The sequence below is a fragment of the Homo sapiens genome, chromosome 2 (genome assembly GCF_000001405.40).
Source record: "Homo sapiens chromosome 2, GRCh38.p14 Primary Assembly".
Taxonomy (NCBI): Eukaryota; Metazoa; Chordata; class Mammalia; order Primates; family Hominidae; genus Homo; species Homo sapiens.
Genome location: NC_000002.12, coordinates 22,656,600 through 22,675,889, shown reverse-complemented (window position 1 = coordinate 22,675,889; position 19,290 = coordinate 22,656,600).

The following is a 19,290-nucleotide window of genomic DNA, read 5'->3' as shown; positions in this document are numbered from 1 at the left end:
AGGAGAAGAACTAGATGTGTTCCCTTCCATGCATGCCAATAATATACGCTCTAGTGAGAAGAAAAGAAAAAAAACATAATTATAACATAGCATGTACATGTTTTAACACTACTAAAAACAATGCTACATTTACTGAGCTCCACTATATACCAGGCACTTTCATGAGCATTTTTCATATATCAGTGCTCACAAAAGCCTAATAGGATTAGGTGTTTTTTCATTTTACTAATAAGGATACGGAAATACAGATAGGGTTAAGTAAGTGTTTTACCAAGAGTCACATAGCTGAGAAGCGACATAGAATAAGAAAGACCTTTAGAAATACAGGGGAATTAAATAATTCCACCTGGAATAATTGGGAAGGCTTCACAAAGGAGGAGGAGTTAGCAGAAGTCGGCAGATGTGGTTGAGCTGGCATCCAAAGTACATAGCCTGTGAAATGTGGTAGATCGTGCCTGCGTGTGTGCCTGCGTGCAGTGTGTATATGAAGAGGCATCTGGTATATTTGGAGCTCAGGGTTTCAAAAGCAATTTATAGAAAAAAGGAAGACTTTTAAAGAGAAAAGTAACAGAAGCTGACCTGTTCTGGTCAGCATGTGGTAATCTATCTCTCCTCCTGATTCCTATAAGAATAATATCTAATACAGAGGGCTTACTGTTTGCCAGGTGGTGTAGTAAGCACGTTACATATGTCAGTTCATTTAAACCTCAGAAGAAACCTATACTAGAAAAGATGAGAAAAGGAAGAAACAATAGAGGCACACAGCAGTTGAGTTACTTATCCAAGGCCACATCCCTAATGTGTGGAGGTGTCCAGATTTGGGTCTGTAGCTCTGCTCTGAACCACTGCACGGATGGTGGCTCTGTCTTTTGTCACTCACAGACTGGCATTGTCAGGTGTATTTTAATGAAGGGGTCTTGCTTCCCAGCTGAAACAAAAACACACCAGGGACAGAGACTCTCATCTATATTGTATTGCCATCTTTTCAGTGGTTATTAGAAAGCTAACACTTACATAGTTAGTAAATGAGGAAGGAATATTTGGTGGATGGTAAGAAGTGGGATAAATATGGTACCTGTTTGATAGACTGGCAAAGCAGAATGTGCATGTGTCTGTATATATATATATATATATAGTGTATATATAGTGTATATATAAAAAGCACAAAACAATTTTAATATAATATATATAACACATATATTTTTCTCTTGAATTACTTGGTATCTTTTATTAATTATGAAGATATGAGATTAAAAATTTTAGAGAAATTAATTGCCAGGAATTAAGGAGCTTACTTTCTAAGGTCTGACAGAAACTATAATAATGAAAAAGAAAATCTGTATTGTTAACATTTCTTAAATAATATTTATTTTGTATGAATTTATTACCCAGTGTCCTCAATATAGTAATTTACCTTGGCTTACAGCATATGTTGGGTCAGGATAAGGGTTCCTAGTTGCCAACTTTTCAGGAATAAGCTCTTCTCCATGACTTTCAAGATCTCTTGTTGTCTCACTTCTATATCTGATCTTGCTCTCTTTCCCCACACAGGCAGGGCTTCCTGCCTCCCACTTCACACTAGTGATTCCTCACCTACCTGTGACTTCACCATCACCATTGCTGCATATGTGTACTTGACTTTTTTTTTCAAGTAGGATGACAATCTCAGTCCCTTCACATGTCTTTAGAAGCAGTAGTGCAGAGTTTTAGAATTTCTTTCTAAATCCCGTTTGATCTATCTTTCCTCATTCCTTTCCAGAAGTTGTTACCAGAAAGGGGTCCCAATTCAGATCCCAAGAGAGGGTTCTCGAATCTTGTGCAAGAAAGAATTCAGGGCGAGTCCATAGAGTAAGGTGAAAGCAAGTTAATTAAGAAAGTAAAGGAATAAAAGAATGGCTACTCCATAGGTAAAGCAGCCCTGAGGGCTGCTGGTTTACTATTTTTATGGCTATTTATTGATTATATGCTACACAAGGGGTGGATTATTCATGAGTTTTCCGGGAAAGGGGTGGGCCATTCCCGGAACTGAAGGGTCCTCCCCTTTTTAGACCATATAGGGTAACTTGCCGACGTTGCCATGGCATCCATAAAATGTCTTGGTGCTGGTGAGAGTGTCTTTTAGCATATATAATTAGCATATAATGAGCAGGGAGGACGAACAGAAGTTACTCTCAGCGCCATCTTGGTTTTGGTGGGTTTTGGCCTGTTTCTTTACCACATCCTGTTTTATTAGCAAGGTCTTTGTGACCTGCACCTTGTGCCAGCCTTCTATCTCATCCTGTGACTTAGAATCTGTAACCTCCTGGGAATGCAGCCCAGTAGGTCTCAGCCTTATTTTACCCAGCCCCTATTCAAGGTGAAGTTGCTGTTGTTGAAATACCTCTGACAAAATGAGAAAAGAGTTTGAATAAGAGGGCCAAAGTTTCACAACTAAGTAACAACAGACCAGAGACTTAAGTCTATATCTCATGACCCCGGATCCTTTTTTCACTAATGTGTTTTAAATCTAAACCAGTACCTGAAACATTCATGCTGTGCAACACAGTTCAAACTTTAATAACTTTTGTGCACTGTACCTGCTGATTAAAAGGCCTCTGTATGTTAGTAGTCTCTAGAACTGCACAGTTAATTAAATGTGAATTTAATACTTTGGTCTGGTACTCATACTTTTAAAGAAAAAGGCAAAATACTACACTAAAACCATTCATCATCTAAATAAAAGTAAAAATCTTGTTTAACACAGCTTGTGTTACAATATGAAATAAAGTAACCCATAGTACAGTTAAGTCTTTGCTAGCATTCATTTGTTTTGGTAATTTTGCACAGTCTTGATATTTGGTTCATAAAAGGTACATGTCAACAGAATGAATATCTCAAGTTCTTACAGAATTTGCCTAAATTTTATGCTATTTTGAGGCTTAGGGACATTTCTAATTGAAGTAAAAATATATCGGGATATATCTAGAACAAGAATCAACTGAGAAGTCAGGCTGACTAGAAACATCATTGGTGATCTCTGAGACTGGACAGTAAGTGGCAAACTCTCAGAATTGCAGTGACACCAGAGATAAGGGTACTGGTTTCACTGTCGCTGCTTCCCCCCTACAGGCTTCAGGGAGCATAAATTACAGGATTTTTGTTTGTTTTTTTGTTTGTTTTTGTTTTTTTCCATGTGTGTATGTTTTCTCCTCAGAAAGTATTTGTTTTGTTCACTTATGTGACAGTGTTTTAGCAAAAGACAGAGATACTTCTAACACTCAATGCATCTTCCTCACCCCCAAAACATATTTTGCTATTCAGGTTTCTGATACTTTAAATTCTGATTTTGTGGCTTATACAGATAAGAACATTGTTCTAGTAAAATCAAAATGCTTATCTTCATCTCCCAGGAAAACTTTCAGTTTTCCCGTCTATAGTCATTTCAAGTTTATTGTTTTTTAATCAACTATTTTTCAATAACTCTATCTCTATTTCTAATTTTATAATATACAAATTTCTATCATACTACAATTTAAGGATTCCCTTTGTCTTAATTACTTTTGGGCTATTGCCTAATAAGGGCTTAAAGCGGTATTTCTCTCTCTCTACCTTTCTTCCTCCCTCCACACCCACATTTCTTTTCTCACCTCTCACAACTTGGCAATTGTGTTCCCCAACCCAACAGAGCCTGGAGGCTAACTCTCTGGAGAGGTTAAACCAAAATAAGAGATTTTGGGGCATCAGACAAACAAGAAGGTAAGATGTCAATAAGAAAATGAGGAGATTAAGGAAAAGTCTATACTGAATAACGAGCCCTGTAGACATCTTTTTGGTGTCAATTATTCTGCCTATCACAATTATATTTTGGACTTTGAAATCTCTATTAATGGAAAGTCCAGATAAGAATATTTGTTAATATTGTTTATTATCAAGACTGAAATGATACCTGATAAAACTACACTCTACTTGAAAAATTAGTTACCTGATTTTATGCCAGACTTCTTGAGTCAAAAAAATCTGGGACACCCAGTACAAATATTTAACAGTATTTCAAGGCATTCTCTACACTGGGGATCCATGGAAATGATAGAAGTATTTGTTGAGGCAGACTGAGCATGATTCAAGATAAGAAATATGCCCTAGCAATATATTTAAGAAGTGTGCCATATGTATGAGATGTAATATGGGTCTCGTAGCATAGATATCATACTCTCAAATATGGACTCTTGAAGCCCACTGGCTGAATTCAAATTCTTGCTCCATTTATTTCTCATGTAACCTTGAACCAGTCATCCAATTTCTGTCTTACTAATTTTCCCCAATAGGAACTGGGGGAGGGGAAGAGAATAGTAACTATCTTACAGTATCATTACAAGTATTATTTAAGATAAAATATGTATAAAACTAAGAACAATGCCCAGTTATAATAGATGTTTGATAGAGGGTAACTGTATTTACTATATTAATAAATCTACAAAGAATTATAAAGATACATTGGATTCTTAAATGCATATCTGGTCACTTTTTAAAAACATATTTTATTTATAACCACTGCCCAGTGTGTTGGCTATTAAAATATTTTACTTTTTATCCTTGTCTGATTCATCTTCCAAGGTCTTATAGCTACCTTCTCACATCGAATCATATTTCATCTTCTTTGAGGTTTAGGATGGACTAAAATATCTGTTTCTTTTTTCAGAAACCTTTTAATAAACCTTAGTTTATGTGTGTTTTCTCAGAGCATCAGAGACAGTGATATATGTCAATGACATGCATAGCCTTTGGAATTAGGCTACCTGGGTTTAACCTCTTATAAATTTTGTGACCATGGGCATTTTCTGTGAACTATTGAGCCTTCGTTTTCTGACTCGTGAAATGGGATTTTAATAATAATTTTGATGGGAATATTAAATAAAACAGTACATTTAAAGCTCTCTGTGTAGTATCTGCCAAACAGTAAGTACCCAAGGGATGTTCTTAATGGAGCCAGCTGAGGGCAGGGCCTCGGCCAATCTTAGAGTCTAAGTCATTAGTGACCCATCACCTGGAGACTAAGGCTGCTTGTGGGAGGGGACAGAAATATTCAGAGAACATTTGACATTTAAACTGCACTTAAGAGGAAAATAGGACTTTTCAAGGCAGAAGAGAGGTGGTTAGAACTTCTTGAAAATAGCATGTACCAACACAATAAAAAGTATGAAATACTGTAAGTTGCCCAATGTAGCAGGCCCCTGGCTGGGGCTATAAAGAGTGGCTGGGCTCAAGTGTGAGCCTGGATAGCAGAGGATGCACATTCTTTGTATGTTTGCTCATTGGAGCATTTGTTTCCAAAGAAAATGGTGAATATTATAAGAAGGAGAAATAATAAGTTACCATTATTTGCTTTTTGGAGAATTACTATGCTGATATATTAATGATACTAAAATTGGGCATAATTTTGAGAGCTGAATCTTGGTTTGTTTGGGAGACTGTAGATAGATTTTTCAGCCATTGTCAAAATTTATGAGCACATTTATGTTTGTCATAAGCAGGAATGAAGGGGTGGATTGTAGCTTTGCAGCGTTTTTCTTTGTCATTGCATCCTTTACTTCTGGAAGCCCGAGACTCAGGACTTCCTGGCACTCAGGATCCTCCCACATCCTCCTCAGGCTCTCAAGGTCCCAGATGATCTCCTTTTGGTTACATCTTTTTTGTTTTCCAAGCTCTACCCAGGGTCATACCCTCAGCCAGCAGTCACAAAAGATAAGATCCAATCCCATTGCCTTGAAATATAAGTGATCGGTAACCTCAACAATATGCCCTCAAACCCTCCACACACACACAAACAGCACAAATCTTACATTTTATCCATAATTTTAATTAATGATATCATGAATGGCAGTATGACAGAAGGAGTTCCACATTGAAATAGGGAACCTCTCAAGATGACCTATCTGGACCGATTACTCCTCTGAGAAGCACCACCAGGAAAGGCCAGACTGCAGCTTATAAAGTAGCTTTCTTGATAGGAGGCTGTCACAGAATCTCTGGTTCCCAGAATTTCTAGAACCCAAGAATGAAAGCTCAAGTGCCCACTCTTAATTCTTAGTTGTCAGAGCACTAATTGCATTACTTTGTTCGGAAATGATGTCCAAGAAAGCATAACGGCTAAATGTTTGGACTTAGTAGACAATTTTCTCTTGTCCTGAGCAGAGGTCAGCACCAAAGAAGCAGCCTCTGAGTACCAATGTAGACAAAAAAATTTTGTTCAGTCAAATGAAATATTTATCATTTTAAAGTCACTTTAAAGTGATATTGATATAAACCAATTTTCCTTAAAATATGTAAAAACTAGGAACTCTAGGAATCGTTTGTGCATGATTCTGGATTGTTGCATAAATCGTGAACTCTCTGACACTATTTTTTTTTTTTAACAACAGTAACTAAATTTTACCACTGACAATAGGTACCTGCCTGGTTCTTACCTTTGGCTTTCTTAACAGGGTATTGATAATTAATTGCATCAACTCTACTACTTTAATAAAACTGGTCATCCACAAAGCAAATATGTATTGCTTAATTTTCATTTTGAGAGTGGATAACCACTGAAAATTAATCATCCATAGAAAGGGAACTAAGCAGCACTTCTAATCTCTGAAAAGATTGCCAGTCTATTAGAGTTATATGCTTTAATCAATTCACATATAACTGTATAATTTATAAGCTTCAAATTAGATCAGCTATCTATTAGACCTAATAAAATGGAAATGTATTAATCAGATTAAAAATATAAAGAAGAAAATTAGCAAGGAATGGAATGTGATATCCCTAGAAGAAAGAACAATGACAACTGTTAGTGTGGAATATGAATGGGTTAAGCTGATTTACTTTGTTTACAGTAATATGGTTTGACTTGAGAGTTCTATAGCTTATATATAAAAGTTTAAAAAAGGTTCTTCTTGGAAATGATATGAAATCTAATATGCATGAACAAAAGTTCTTTATATTATCTATTACTGCTAAGAAGAAAAAACATCTATTGGGTCCTTATTCCATGCCAAGTGTGGGACTAAATCTGGATGACATAGGCGTATACTTTAAGACTCGTATTTTTGTTGAGCATACTTTCTAAGTTATAGATACAATTAATACAATTTTTTTTTTCTTTCTAGATATCTAGATCAAAGAAACACTTTCTGGTTAAGTTTTTCTAGTGCTTCAAAACCATAAATATTTCTCAGGCTTAATTTGACAGCAAACCTTGAATGCTAATTAAGAAATCGTTTCAGTTTTATGCCATGTTCCTTCATTTTCTCTTTGTGCCCCTGAACTCAACAGCTTAGTTTATGCCAGCCCCTTACTGAACCACCAGAAACAACAACCTCCAGCTACAAGAAAAGTAACAGTAGAAATAAAATCATTTCTGTAAAAGTATTCTATGAAGAATAATGTTTTGCGGGCCAGGCGCGGTGGCTCACGCCTGTAATCCCAGCACTTTGGGAGGCCGAGGCAGGCAGATCACGAAGTCAGGAGATCGAGACCATCTTGGCTAACACGGTGCAACCCCATCTCTACTAAAAATACAAAAAAAAATAGCTGGGTGTGGTGGCGGGCGCCTGTAGTCCCAGCTACTCGGGAGGCTGAGTCAGGAGAATGGCGTGAACTCGGGAGGTGGAGCTTACAGCGAGCCGAGATCATACCACTGCACTCCAGCCTGGGCGACAGAGTGAGACTCAGTCTCAAAAAAAAAAAAAAAAAATTAATAAAAAAAAATTAAATTAAAAAAATCAGTTTTGTGTTTTAAAATATTGTTATTTTTATGTTTCTCACAAGTAAAAGAGTTTTCCACCTGAATCAAACTGAAACAAATCATATAATGCATCTGACACATAAGCAGCCGTTACTTACACATCAGAATCTTTATAGCATCTACTGTGATAAAAACAAAATGATAGTTTTTTTGGTAGTCACGTCACTGTTGGTTTTGTCATTTGAAGTTTGGACATCCTTCTCCAGCTGTTTCCAAAGGGATGTCTGCAAAAAGCAAGTATGTCTGCAAAAGCAAATATCAGATATGTAACCTCCTCTGAATAACTCAGTTAACCTGGAGTGAGTTTGCATGTGATTGAAAGATATATCACTTATTTTGCATTTGTCTTGCAAAGAACTGATGGCCACTAGAACTTTAGCTTTCTTTAGCCACTCTGCATCAGTATTCAACAGTTATTTTTACAGTTTCTTTTAAAATTGTTTTTCTAATGTTACAAATTTTCCTAATATTGCAGTATGTTTGTACCCCGTATCAGATAATATCACATGTATATGGAATTCATTTAACATTCTCTATTTTGAAATAATTGAGTTTATTTATTTTAATTTTTTATCATGTTTAGTATATAGTCACTTTTGTTTGGAAATACTTTTTAAAGAATTCAGAATAAAAATATTTGCCTAGATTATTCTAGATACTTGATGCTCTTGATAAATTGCTTTTAAACCATCAATTTCCAGAAAATAGAAAAGCAGGGAATATTTTCTAATTCAATTTTTGAGGCCAGCATTGTACTAAACACATAAACAGATAAAGACACTGTAAGAAAAGAAAATACAGACTAACATGCCTCATGAAAACACTTACAAAAATCCTCAACAAAATATTACCAAATCAAATCTAGCACTATATGGAAAGGATAATACAATGACCAAATGGAGTTTATCTCATTAATTCAAGGTTGGTGTAACATTTTAATATCAGTCAATGAAATTCACCATTTTAATATATTAAATAAGAAAACCATATGATCTCAATAGATGAAGAAAAAGCACTTGAAAACAAAAAATGTGATAAAATTTCACTTATGATGGAACTCTCAGCAATCTAGTTACAGAGGGAAACTCCCTCAACCTGATAAAGGAATCTATAAAATCTCCTTAGCTAACAACACACTTAAAGTGAGAGGCTGAATGCTTTCCTCCTAAGGTCGGGAAAACGCCAAGGATGTTTACTCTCATGAGTTCCTAATCATCATCATACTGGAGGTCCTATCTAGTGGAAAAAGGCAAGAAGAATAAATAAAAGGCATCAAGGTTGTAAAGGAAGTAATTAAACTCTATTTACAACTGATATAATTGCTTACTTAGAAAATCCTAGATTCTACAAAAAAGCTACCAGAACTAATAAGTGCTTTGAGCAACGTTTTGGGATATAAAAATAATATTAAAAAAATTATAGTTGACCCTTGAACAACATGGGCTTGAACTGTATGGGTCCATTTAATAAGGAAACATACAGATTTTTTCCAATAAATACAGTAGGCTCTCCATATCCTTAGGTTCTGCATCCATGACAAAATGTGAGTGGAAAATACAGAATTCACTGGATGCAAAAGCTTCTGACAGAGAGGGCTCACTTTTTATACTTTTCTTGTACGTGAGTTTTGCAGGGCTAACTACAAGACTTGAATACACATGGATGTGGGTATCTGTAGGGTGTACTGGAACCAATCCGCTGCAGATACTGAGGACCAACTGTATATTTCTATATTTTAGCAATAAACACCTTAAAATCAAAATTAAAATTTTATAATATCATCAAAAGCATGAGTTATACATAAAGCTATCAAAATATATGCAAGTTCTGCATGTTAAAAACTGTGAAATACTCAGAAGACAAAGAAGTCCTAAATGAATGGCAACTTATGGTTTGTTAATGGTTTGGAAGGCTCAGTATTACTAAGGTATCAATTCTCTCCAAACTAATATATGGATTCAACATAATATGTGTCAGAATCTCAGGACTTTTTGAAGGAATTGACAAACCAATTCAAAAATGGAAGCATTGTATATGAAAATGCAAAGGATCTAGAATAGCCAAAGCAATTTTGAAAAATAAAAATAAAACTGGAAGTATTATACTGCCCAATTTTAATATTTATTATAAAGCTATTGCAATTGGGACAGTGTGGCATTGGTGATAGTACAGAGACACAAATCAAGTCAATGAAATGGAACAAAATGTTCAGAAGTCGGACAACTATCTATATATATTTCACACACAGACACGTTGTGTATGTCCCTATATATACATGGACAACTGGCTCTTGACAATGGTTCAAAAGCAATTAAATGAAAAGGACAGAGTTTTCCGCAAGTAGGTGGGGAAGCATTGACATCCACAAGCAAAATATAGATCTCAACACCCACTTAATGAAAGTTGATAAATTTTAAAACTATAGGAAATATACATAATAACATATCAAATACACAAGTATCTGCCAGCCAGAATGAAGTGTGAACATTTTATTGCTTCTGCTTCAGATGTCATTTTACTTCCTTTAAAAAATGAAAGATGTATTACACCATTCTTACATTGCTGTCAAGAAATACCTGAGGTTGGGTAATTTCTAAAGAAAGAGGTTTATGTGGCTCACAGTTCTGTGGGCTTTACAGGAAGCAAGGTGCTGGCATGTGCTCAGCTTCTGGGGAAGCCTCAGGAAGCTTACAACCAGGGCAGAAAAGTGAAGGGGGAGCATGTGCATTACATGGTAAAAGCAGGAGCTCGAGAGACAGTTGGGGGTAGGTGGCATACACTTTTAAATGACCAGATTTTGTGTGAACTCAGGGTGAGAGCTCACTTATCACCAAGGGGATGGCCCAAGCCATTCATGAGAAATTTGCCCCCACAATCCAAACACCTCCCACCAGGCCCCACCTCAAATACTGGGGGTTAAATTTCAACATGAGATTTGGGCCAGGACAAATATCCAAACTGTATCAAAAGTTATATAACATTATGGAAGACAGTGAAGTCCTCTTTGTTCCTCTTTGCAATTGCATTTTCTTACCTCCTTTCCCAGAGATGAACACTATCCCAAATATGATGTGTGCCCTTATTGTTCATATTTTTATTATTTTGTCACTTATATATCCATAAGTAAAGCATTGCTCTGTGTTGTTGTTTTAAAAATGTGTATTAATGATGTCATAGTATAGGTACTATTCCAGAAGTTAGTTCGTTACTCAGTACAACTAATCCTTGAACAACTCAGGGGTTAAGGGGACCTATCCCCACACAGTTGAAAATCATCTGGATATGTGATTTGACTTCCCCAAAACTTAACTGCTAATAGCTTACTGTTTTCCGGAAGCCTTACCGATAACATAAACAGTTGATTAACATGTTTTGTATATTATATGTATATATACAGTATTCTCACAATAAAGTAAGCTAGGGAAAAGAAACATTAAGAAAACTATAAGGAAAATATATGTTTACTATTTATTATGTGGAAGTGGATCATTATAAAGGTCTTCTTCCTTGCCTTAACCTTGCGTAGGCTGATGAGGACAAGGAGGAAGAGGAAAGGGTTGTCTTGCTGTCTCAGAGGTGTCAGAGGCAGAGAAAATTTGTGTATAAGTGGACCCATGCAGTTCAAACCTGTGTTGTTCAAGGGTCAACTGTATTATATTTTAAAAATATATCTATTTTCATATACATTAATCTAGTTTTTATTGCTGTATAAATTGAGTGAATGCACAATAATTTATTATTCATTCCCATAACCAAGGACACTGCTGCAATGGATATTTTCATGCGTATCTCCTGTGGTGAATATGTACAAGAGTTTCTCCTGAGCATATATTTAAAATCAGCATTGCTGAGTCACAGATTATGTACCTCAATATACTCTGATATTGACAAGTTGCCCTCTAAAATAGTTTACCATTTTATTCTTCCACCAGCAGTAAATGAGAGGTCAGTTTTCTTTGTCTTTGTCAAATCTTAGTGGTGTCAGAATTTTGACTTTCCTAATTTAATCTGTATTAGATAATATCTAGATAATTGTTCCTGATTACTAAGGAAGGTAGGTATTTATTTATATATTTGTTGGACTTTGGTGTTTGTTCTTTTGTGAGCTGCGTATTTAAAAACAAACACAAACTTAATTATGAAAAATACATACTGAGAACTGTGTCCTTGTAGCTTAAATAGCATGACTGAGAACTGAGACCACCTATGTCAACATGTTTACATTATTTCTTCCAAAAAATTCTCGCCCTAGAAGATGAAGCTGTAATCCAATCAATATTCTCACCATTTGCTTCAGGAAATTCTTGAACACCAATAGGTCTGGACTAAGAGCTGGCTCATCTGGGAAAATGGTTGTCCTACAAAATATTAGATTGCTCACCTGGGTAAACAAGTAGGTGGTCAAACAACAGTTTACTTATCATTACTCACTTCAAGATCATTGCCTCTCTATACCCACTGTAATTTTGCCACAGACTTCTCTCAAAATCAAGGAGTGTGCAACTTGAAAGAACCACCTAAGTCACTGAGCCGAAGTCCTAAAGCCTATAAATATCCTTCTTGATACCCTTGTTCTGAATCACAGCTATGACTGATAAGTTGATGCTCTCCCTCACTGCACCATTTGGTCTTGATTGATTGAAAGATTTATTGGTGGTCTTTTGAGAAGTCAATAAAATACGGTGCTCATTTGCAAGAAGTCATCGTACAACACATGCTTAAGAAGTGAGAAGTTGTGATCTGCCTTTATGAAGGAAGAGTATCTCCATGAATTATTTGGAATACTTCTACATGGATTATTTGTTTATTCTCCCACATTCATTTATTTATTCACTGATTTTTATAACAATATGTGCTCATGGGTATTCATGTTATTGGTTTAAGATCTAATACTGCTTTCTTTTGATGCTCACGTTGTTCTAGCTTTGAATACTGGGAGTTCTTTCAGTTGACTCTTTTGTCCCTTTCACAAACTCACATCATTGTGTATGTGTTTAGCACTTCCTTACTTTCTGGCACCACAACCTCCCACAGGGGTATCTTGTATATTTCCTGTTCCAGTCCCAGAATTGTTCATTTATCTAAGGAGCCCTGGATCCTTCTCTTAGAGAGCAGTATTGGAAACCAAATTCGAGGTGCTATTATGCTGGCTGCTCTTGGGGTGCTGTTGCTTCTAGTCCCATTCAGCTGACAGAGCAAAAAAAATGTGTGTATACTAGCCCATGTATATACAACTGTCTATAAATATTTGTATATGTGCCTATCGGTATCTATATTGAGCTAAAAGGGAATTTATATAGATGTCTCCAATTCTAATCCAGTACCATGTGATAATTCTAGCGTCCTTCCCCCTGCTTATATCTTTAACCTCTGACTTCAAAAATGGGAGAAACCTACCTGGTACCATCTATTTTCTTCAAGGTTCAATTTCAGTGTATGTATATAGCAGTAAAAGAGTTGTTAACATGTATCCCCATGGGAAATAACTTTATCTATTAGAAAACAATGGTTATGTACAGTTTATATTGCCTTTCATCCTTTAATTTTAGATTCCACTCATTTACAAAGTTACTTATATCAGCACCATCTCCCCACTCCATCACTGAGGTTATTTGATATGTTTGCAATACAATTAGATTCTTTGTTACAGTCTGCACTCCAGCCTGGGAGCCCTTGGCATCTTTAATTATTTTTTAATTTGTGTACAGTAAGATTCAGTATTGCACTATAAAGTTCTCGGGTTTTAATATATGTATTCCATCATGTATCCACCACTGCAATATACAGAATGGTTTCACTGCCCTAATATGGTCCTTGACTTTTTCAAACCTTCCTCCAAACCCCTGGCAAACACTGATCTTTTAACTGTCCATAATTTTGTTGTTTTCCACAATGACGTATAATTGTAATTTTATTATATGATTCCGTATGTATGTAGCCTTTTCAGACTGGCTTTTTTCAATTAACAATATGAGTAAGGTTCATCCATGTCTTTGCCTGACTTATAGGTCATTCCTTTACTTTACCTAATGGTATTCCATTACACACGTGCCACAATTTGTTTACGCATTCATCTATTGAAGGATATTTTGTTGCTTCCAGTTTGGGCTATTATTATTATTATTATTATTATTATTATTATTTTTTTTTTTTTTTTTTTTTTTTTTTTTGAGACAGAGTCTCTCTCAGTCGCCCAGGCTGGAGTGCAGTGGCGCGATCTCGGCTCACTGCAAGCTCCGTCTCCCGGGTTGACGCCATTCTCCTGCCTCAGCCTCCCGAGTAGCTGGGACTACAGGCGCCCGCCACCATGCCCGGCTATTTTTTGTATTTTTAGTAGAGACGGGGTTTCACCGTGTTAGCCAGGATGGTCTCGATCTCCTGACCTCCTGATTCACCCGTCTCGGCCTCCCATAGTGCTGGGATTACAGGCGTGAGCCACCGCGCCCTGCCTAGTTGAGGCTATTATTAATAAAGATATTCTAAACATTTGTGTGCAGATTTTTATGTGGACATCATTTTCAAATTAATTGGGTAGATCTACATAAGAACAATTGCTGGATTGTATGATAAGATTATGTTTAGCTTTGTAAGTAATTGCCAATCTTCTGCTCCCACCAGCAATCTTTCACTCCCACAAACAATGAATGAGACTTCCTTTTGCTTCACATTCTCACCAGCAATTAGTATTGTCAGATGTTTGGATTTTAGCCATTCTCATAGCCATGCAAAGTATGTATATGAATGTTTTAATTTGCATTTCCTAATAAAAATGATCTTGGGCATATTTTATACCCCATTATTGCAAGACTTTATGCTTAAAATTTTAATTTAATTTTTATTTTCTAAATTTAATATTTTTAAAATATTGATTTGAGAAATATTGTATATAGTCAAGGTGTACAATGAGATGATTTGACATACATATAATGTTGTGATGATTATTGTGATCAAATTTATTAAGATATCTATCACCATCCATGCTGTACCTTTGATTTCCAGAACTTCTTAATCTTATAATTGAAAGTTTGTAGCCTTTGATCAACACCTCCTCATTCCAACCACCACTAGCTTCTGGTAACTACTATCCTACTCTCTGCTTCTATGAGTTTGACTTTTTTCGATGCCACATACAAGTGAGATTATAGCAGTATTTGTTTTTTGTGTGTGTCTGGCTTATTTCACTTGATATAATGTCTTCCAGATTTGTCCATGTTGTCACAAATGAAGGAATATCCTTGTTTTTTATAGCTAAATAGTATTCTATTGTGTCTGTGTGTGTGCATACAAACACACACCCAAACATACCACTTTTTATTTATCCATTAATCTTTTGATTGACATGTGTTGTTTTCATAATTTGGCTATTGTGAATAATGCTGCAGTGAACATTGGGGTACAGATATCTCTCAAGATAGTGATTTTATTTCCTTTGGACATATACCCAGAAATGGGATTGGTGGATCATATGGCAATTCTATTTTTAATTTTTTTGAGGAGCCCCCATACTGATTTCCACAATAGCATACAAGGGTTAATTTTTCCTACATCCTTCATTACCACTTGTCTCTTGCCTTATTGATAATAGCCATCCTGACAGGTATGAGGTGATATCTCATTATGTTTTCTATTTGCACTTTTTTTCTGATGATTAGTGGTATTGAGCACCTTTTTATATACCTTTGGCCATTTTTTATCTCTTCTTTGGAAAAATATCCACTTAGTACTTTGCCCATTTTTATTTTTTATTTTATTTTTTGCCACTGAGTTGTGTGATTTCTTTATGTATTTTTTATGTTAATCCCTTATCAGACATAGGGTTTCAAATATTTTCTTTCATTCCACAGGATGCCTTTTCATCTCATTGATTGTTTCCTTTGCTCTGCAGAAGCTTTTAAATTTGATGTTGTTTCCACCTGTTTATTTTTGCTTTTGTTGCTTGTGCTTTTGGTGTCATAGCCAAAAAATCATTGCCAAGACCAATGTCAAGGAGCTTTTCCCCTTCCTTATGTTCTGGGAGTTTTATAGTTTCAGATCTTACCTTTAAGTGTTTAATTAATTTTAAATTAATATTTATATATGATGCAAGACAAAGTTCTAATTTTATTCGTTTGGGAGCTTTTCTTCTGGGATCAGAAATAAGGCAAGTATGCCTACTCTTGACACTTTTATTCGACATGGTACTGGAAGTCCTAATCAGAGCAATTAGGAGAAAACAGAGAGAGAGAGAGAGAGAGAGAGAGAGAGAGCATTCAAGTTGATTTAAGTTCGAAAGGAAGAAGGTAAACTGTCTCTGTTTGCAGATGACGTACTCTTACACATAGAAAACCCTAAAGACTCTACCAAAAAATTGTCAGAACTAATAAATGAATTAAGTAAAGTTTCAGGATATAAAATACACAAAAATAAGTTTAACTTGCTGTATACTAACATAAACTATTTAAAAAAGAAAGAAAACTATTCCATTAATAATAGCATCAAAAATAATAAAATACTTAGGAATACATTTAACAAAGGTGGTGAAAGATTTGTAGAGTGAAAACTGTAGAATATTAGTGAAAAAATTGAAGTAGATATAAATAAATGAAAATCCAGTGTTTCTGAACTGAAAGAATTAATATCATAGTAATGTACATACTACCCAAAGTGATTCAAAGGGATCTCTATCAAAATTCCAATGGCATTTTTAACAGAAATAAAAGTAAACTCTAAAATTTGTGTAAAACCACAAAGAACCCAAATAGCCAATGCAATTTTGAGAACAAAACTGAAGACATCACATTTCCTGATTTCACACTATATTACAATGCTATAGTAATCAAAACCATATGGCACTGCCATAAAAATGAAACATAGTCCAATGGAACAGAACAGAGCCTGGAATAAACCCATGCATATTTGGTCAACTGATCTCTGACAAGGGTGCCAACAATATACAACAGGAAACAGTACCTTTAATAAATGCTACTGAGTAATCGGGGGTATAAGATGGAAAAATGTAAATACTGTTGGGAAAACTGAATATTCACTTGCAAAACTAGGAAATTTGATTCTTGTTTTCATATGCTTTACCATCCATATATATTCCTTGTCAAGGTGTCTGTTCAGATATTGTCCATTTTTCAATTTAATTTTTTTCTTAATGTTATTTTAAGAGTTCTCTGTATATTTGAGGCACAAGTTCATTTTCAGTTACGTGTTTTGCAAGAATTTTCTCCTAGTCTGTGCTTGTATTTTCATTTGATGAGCCATATCTTTTGCAGAGAATAATTTTAAAAATTGTAATAAAACCTAATGTATCAAATTTTTCTTTGATAGGTCATATTTTTGGTGTTGTGTCTAAAAAATGTCACCAAACCCATGGTCATATAGATTTTCTATTTTTTTCTCGAAGCTTTAGTTTTGCACTTTACATTTTAGTGTATGAGTTAATTTTTGTGAAGATATAAGACTTTTTTTCTGCAAATGAACATTCAATTGTTCCAGCACAATTTGTTGAAAAGATTATCTTTTCCCGTTGTCTTTGCGCCTTTGTCAAAATCACTTGGCTATATTGTGTGGCTGTATTATTTCCAGGCTTTCTATTCTGTTTTATTTATATATGTATTTACTTTATTTTAGACTGTCTTGATTATTATAACTTTATATTGTCTTACTATAAGGCTGCTTATGTCCTCCACACAAATGTTTTCATTTTCCAGTTTATATAATAGTTGTTTACACTATACTGTAGTCTATTAAATGTACAATGGCAGTATGTCAAAAAAATAATGCATATACCTTAAGTAAAAATACTTTATTGCCGGAAGTTGCTAATGATCACCCAGTATTTCAGTGAGTTATAATCTTTTTGCTGGTGGAGGGTCTTGCCTTGATGTTGATATTTGCTGGCTGATCAGGGTGGTGGTTGCTAAAGATTGGGGTAGCTGTGGCAATTTTTAAAAATAAGACAACAGTGAGGTATGTTGCATCGATGGACTCTTTCTTTCATAAAAGATTTCTCTGTAGCATATAAGGCTATTTGATAGCATTTAACCCACAGTAGAACTTCTTTCAAAAGTGGAGTCAGTCCTCTCAAACTGCTGCTGTTTGGTCAACTAAGGTTATATAATATTCAAAATCCTTTGTTGTCATTTCAGTGTTCACAGGATCTTTATCAGGAGTAAATTTGATCTCAACAAACCACTTTTTTAGCTCATCCATGGAAGGAATTCCTCTTCTGTTAACTTTTTTTTCTTTTTTCAGAGATAGGATCTTACTCTGCCATGCAGGCTGGAGTGCAGTGGCGTGAGTATAGCTCTCTGCATCCTCAAACTCTGGGCTCAAGTGATCCTCCTTCTTCAGCCTTCTGAGTAGCTGGGGCTATGAGCATGTGCTCATAGCACATGCCTGGCTAATCATTCAAATTTTATTATGAGGTTGCAGCAATGCAGGCACATTTTCGGCCTCTACTTCTAGTTCTATTTCTGTTACTATATCTGCCACATATGTTGTTACTTTCTCCACTGAAGTCTTGAACCTCTCAAAGTCATCCATGAAGGATGGAATCAACTTCTTCTATAATCTTATGAATGTTGATATTTTGACCTTTTTCTGGGAATCATTAATGTTTTTAATGACATCTACAATGGCGAATCCTTTCCAGAAGGTTTTCAATTTATTTTGCCCAGATCCATCAGAGGAATCATATCTATGGAAGCTATAGCCTTTTGAAATGTATTTCTTAAGCAATAAGACTTTAAAGTTGAAATTACTCCTTGATTTATGGACTGCAGAATGGATGCTGTGTTAGGAAGCATGACAACAATATTAATATCCTTATACAACTTTGACCTCTTGAGTGACCAAGTATGTTGAAAATGAGCAGTAATACTTTAAAAATCTTTTTATATGAGTAGTAGGTCTCAACAGAGAGCTTAAAATCTTCAGTGAACTATCCTGTAAACAGGTGTGTGGTCATCTACACTTCATTGTTTCATTCATAGAGCACAGGTAGTGTAATTTTAGCATAATTCTTTTTTGTTTGTTTTTATTTTTTTTGAGATGGTGTTTTGCTCTCATGGCCCAGGCTGGAGTACAGTGGCATGATTTCGGCTCATCGCAACTTCCGCCTCCCGGGTTCAAGCGAATTCTCCTGCCTCAGCCTCTCGAATAGCTGGAATAACAGACATGCACCACCACGCCCAGCTACTTTTGTGTTTTTAGTAGAGACGGGGTTTCTCCATGTTGGTCAGGCTCGTCTCAAACTCCCGACCTCAGGCTGGAGTTGAACTCCTGACCTCAGGTGATCCCCCTGCCTCAGCCTCTCAAAGTGCTGAGAATACAGGCGTGAGCTACCATGCCTGGCCAGCTTTAGCATAATTCTTAAGGGCTTTAGAATTTTCACAATGGTAAATGGGCACTGGCTTCAACTAAGAGTTGCCAGCTCCATTAGCCCCTAAAGAGTCAGCCTGTGCTTTGAAGCTTTGAAGCCAAGCATTGACTTTTCCTCTTAGCAATGTAAGTCCTAGATGGCATTCAAGAGA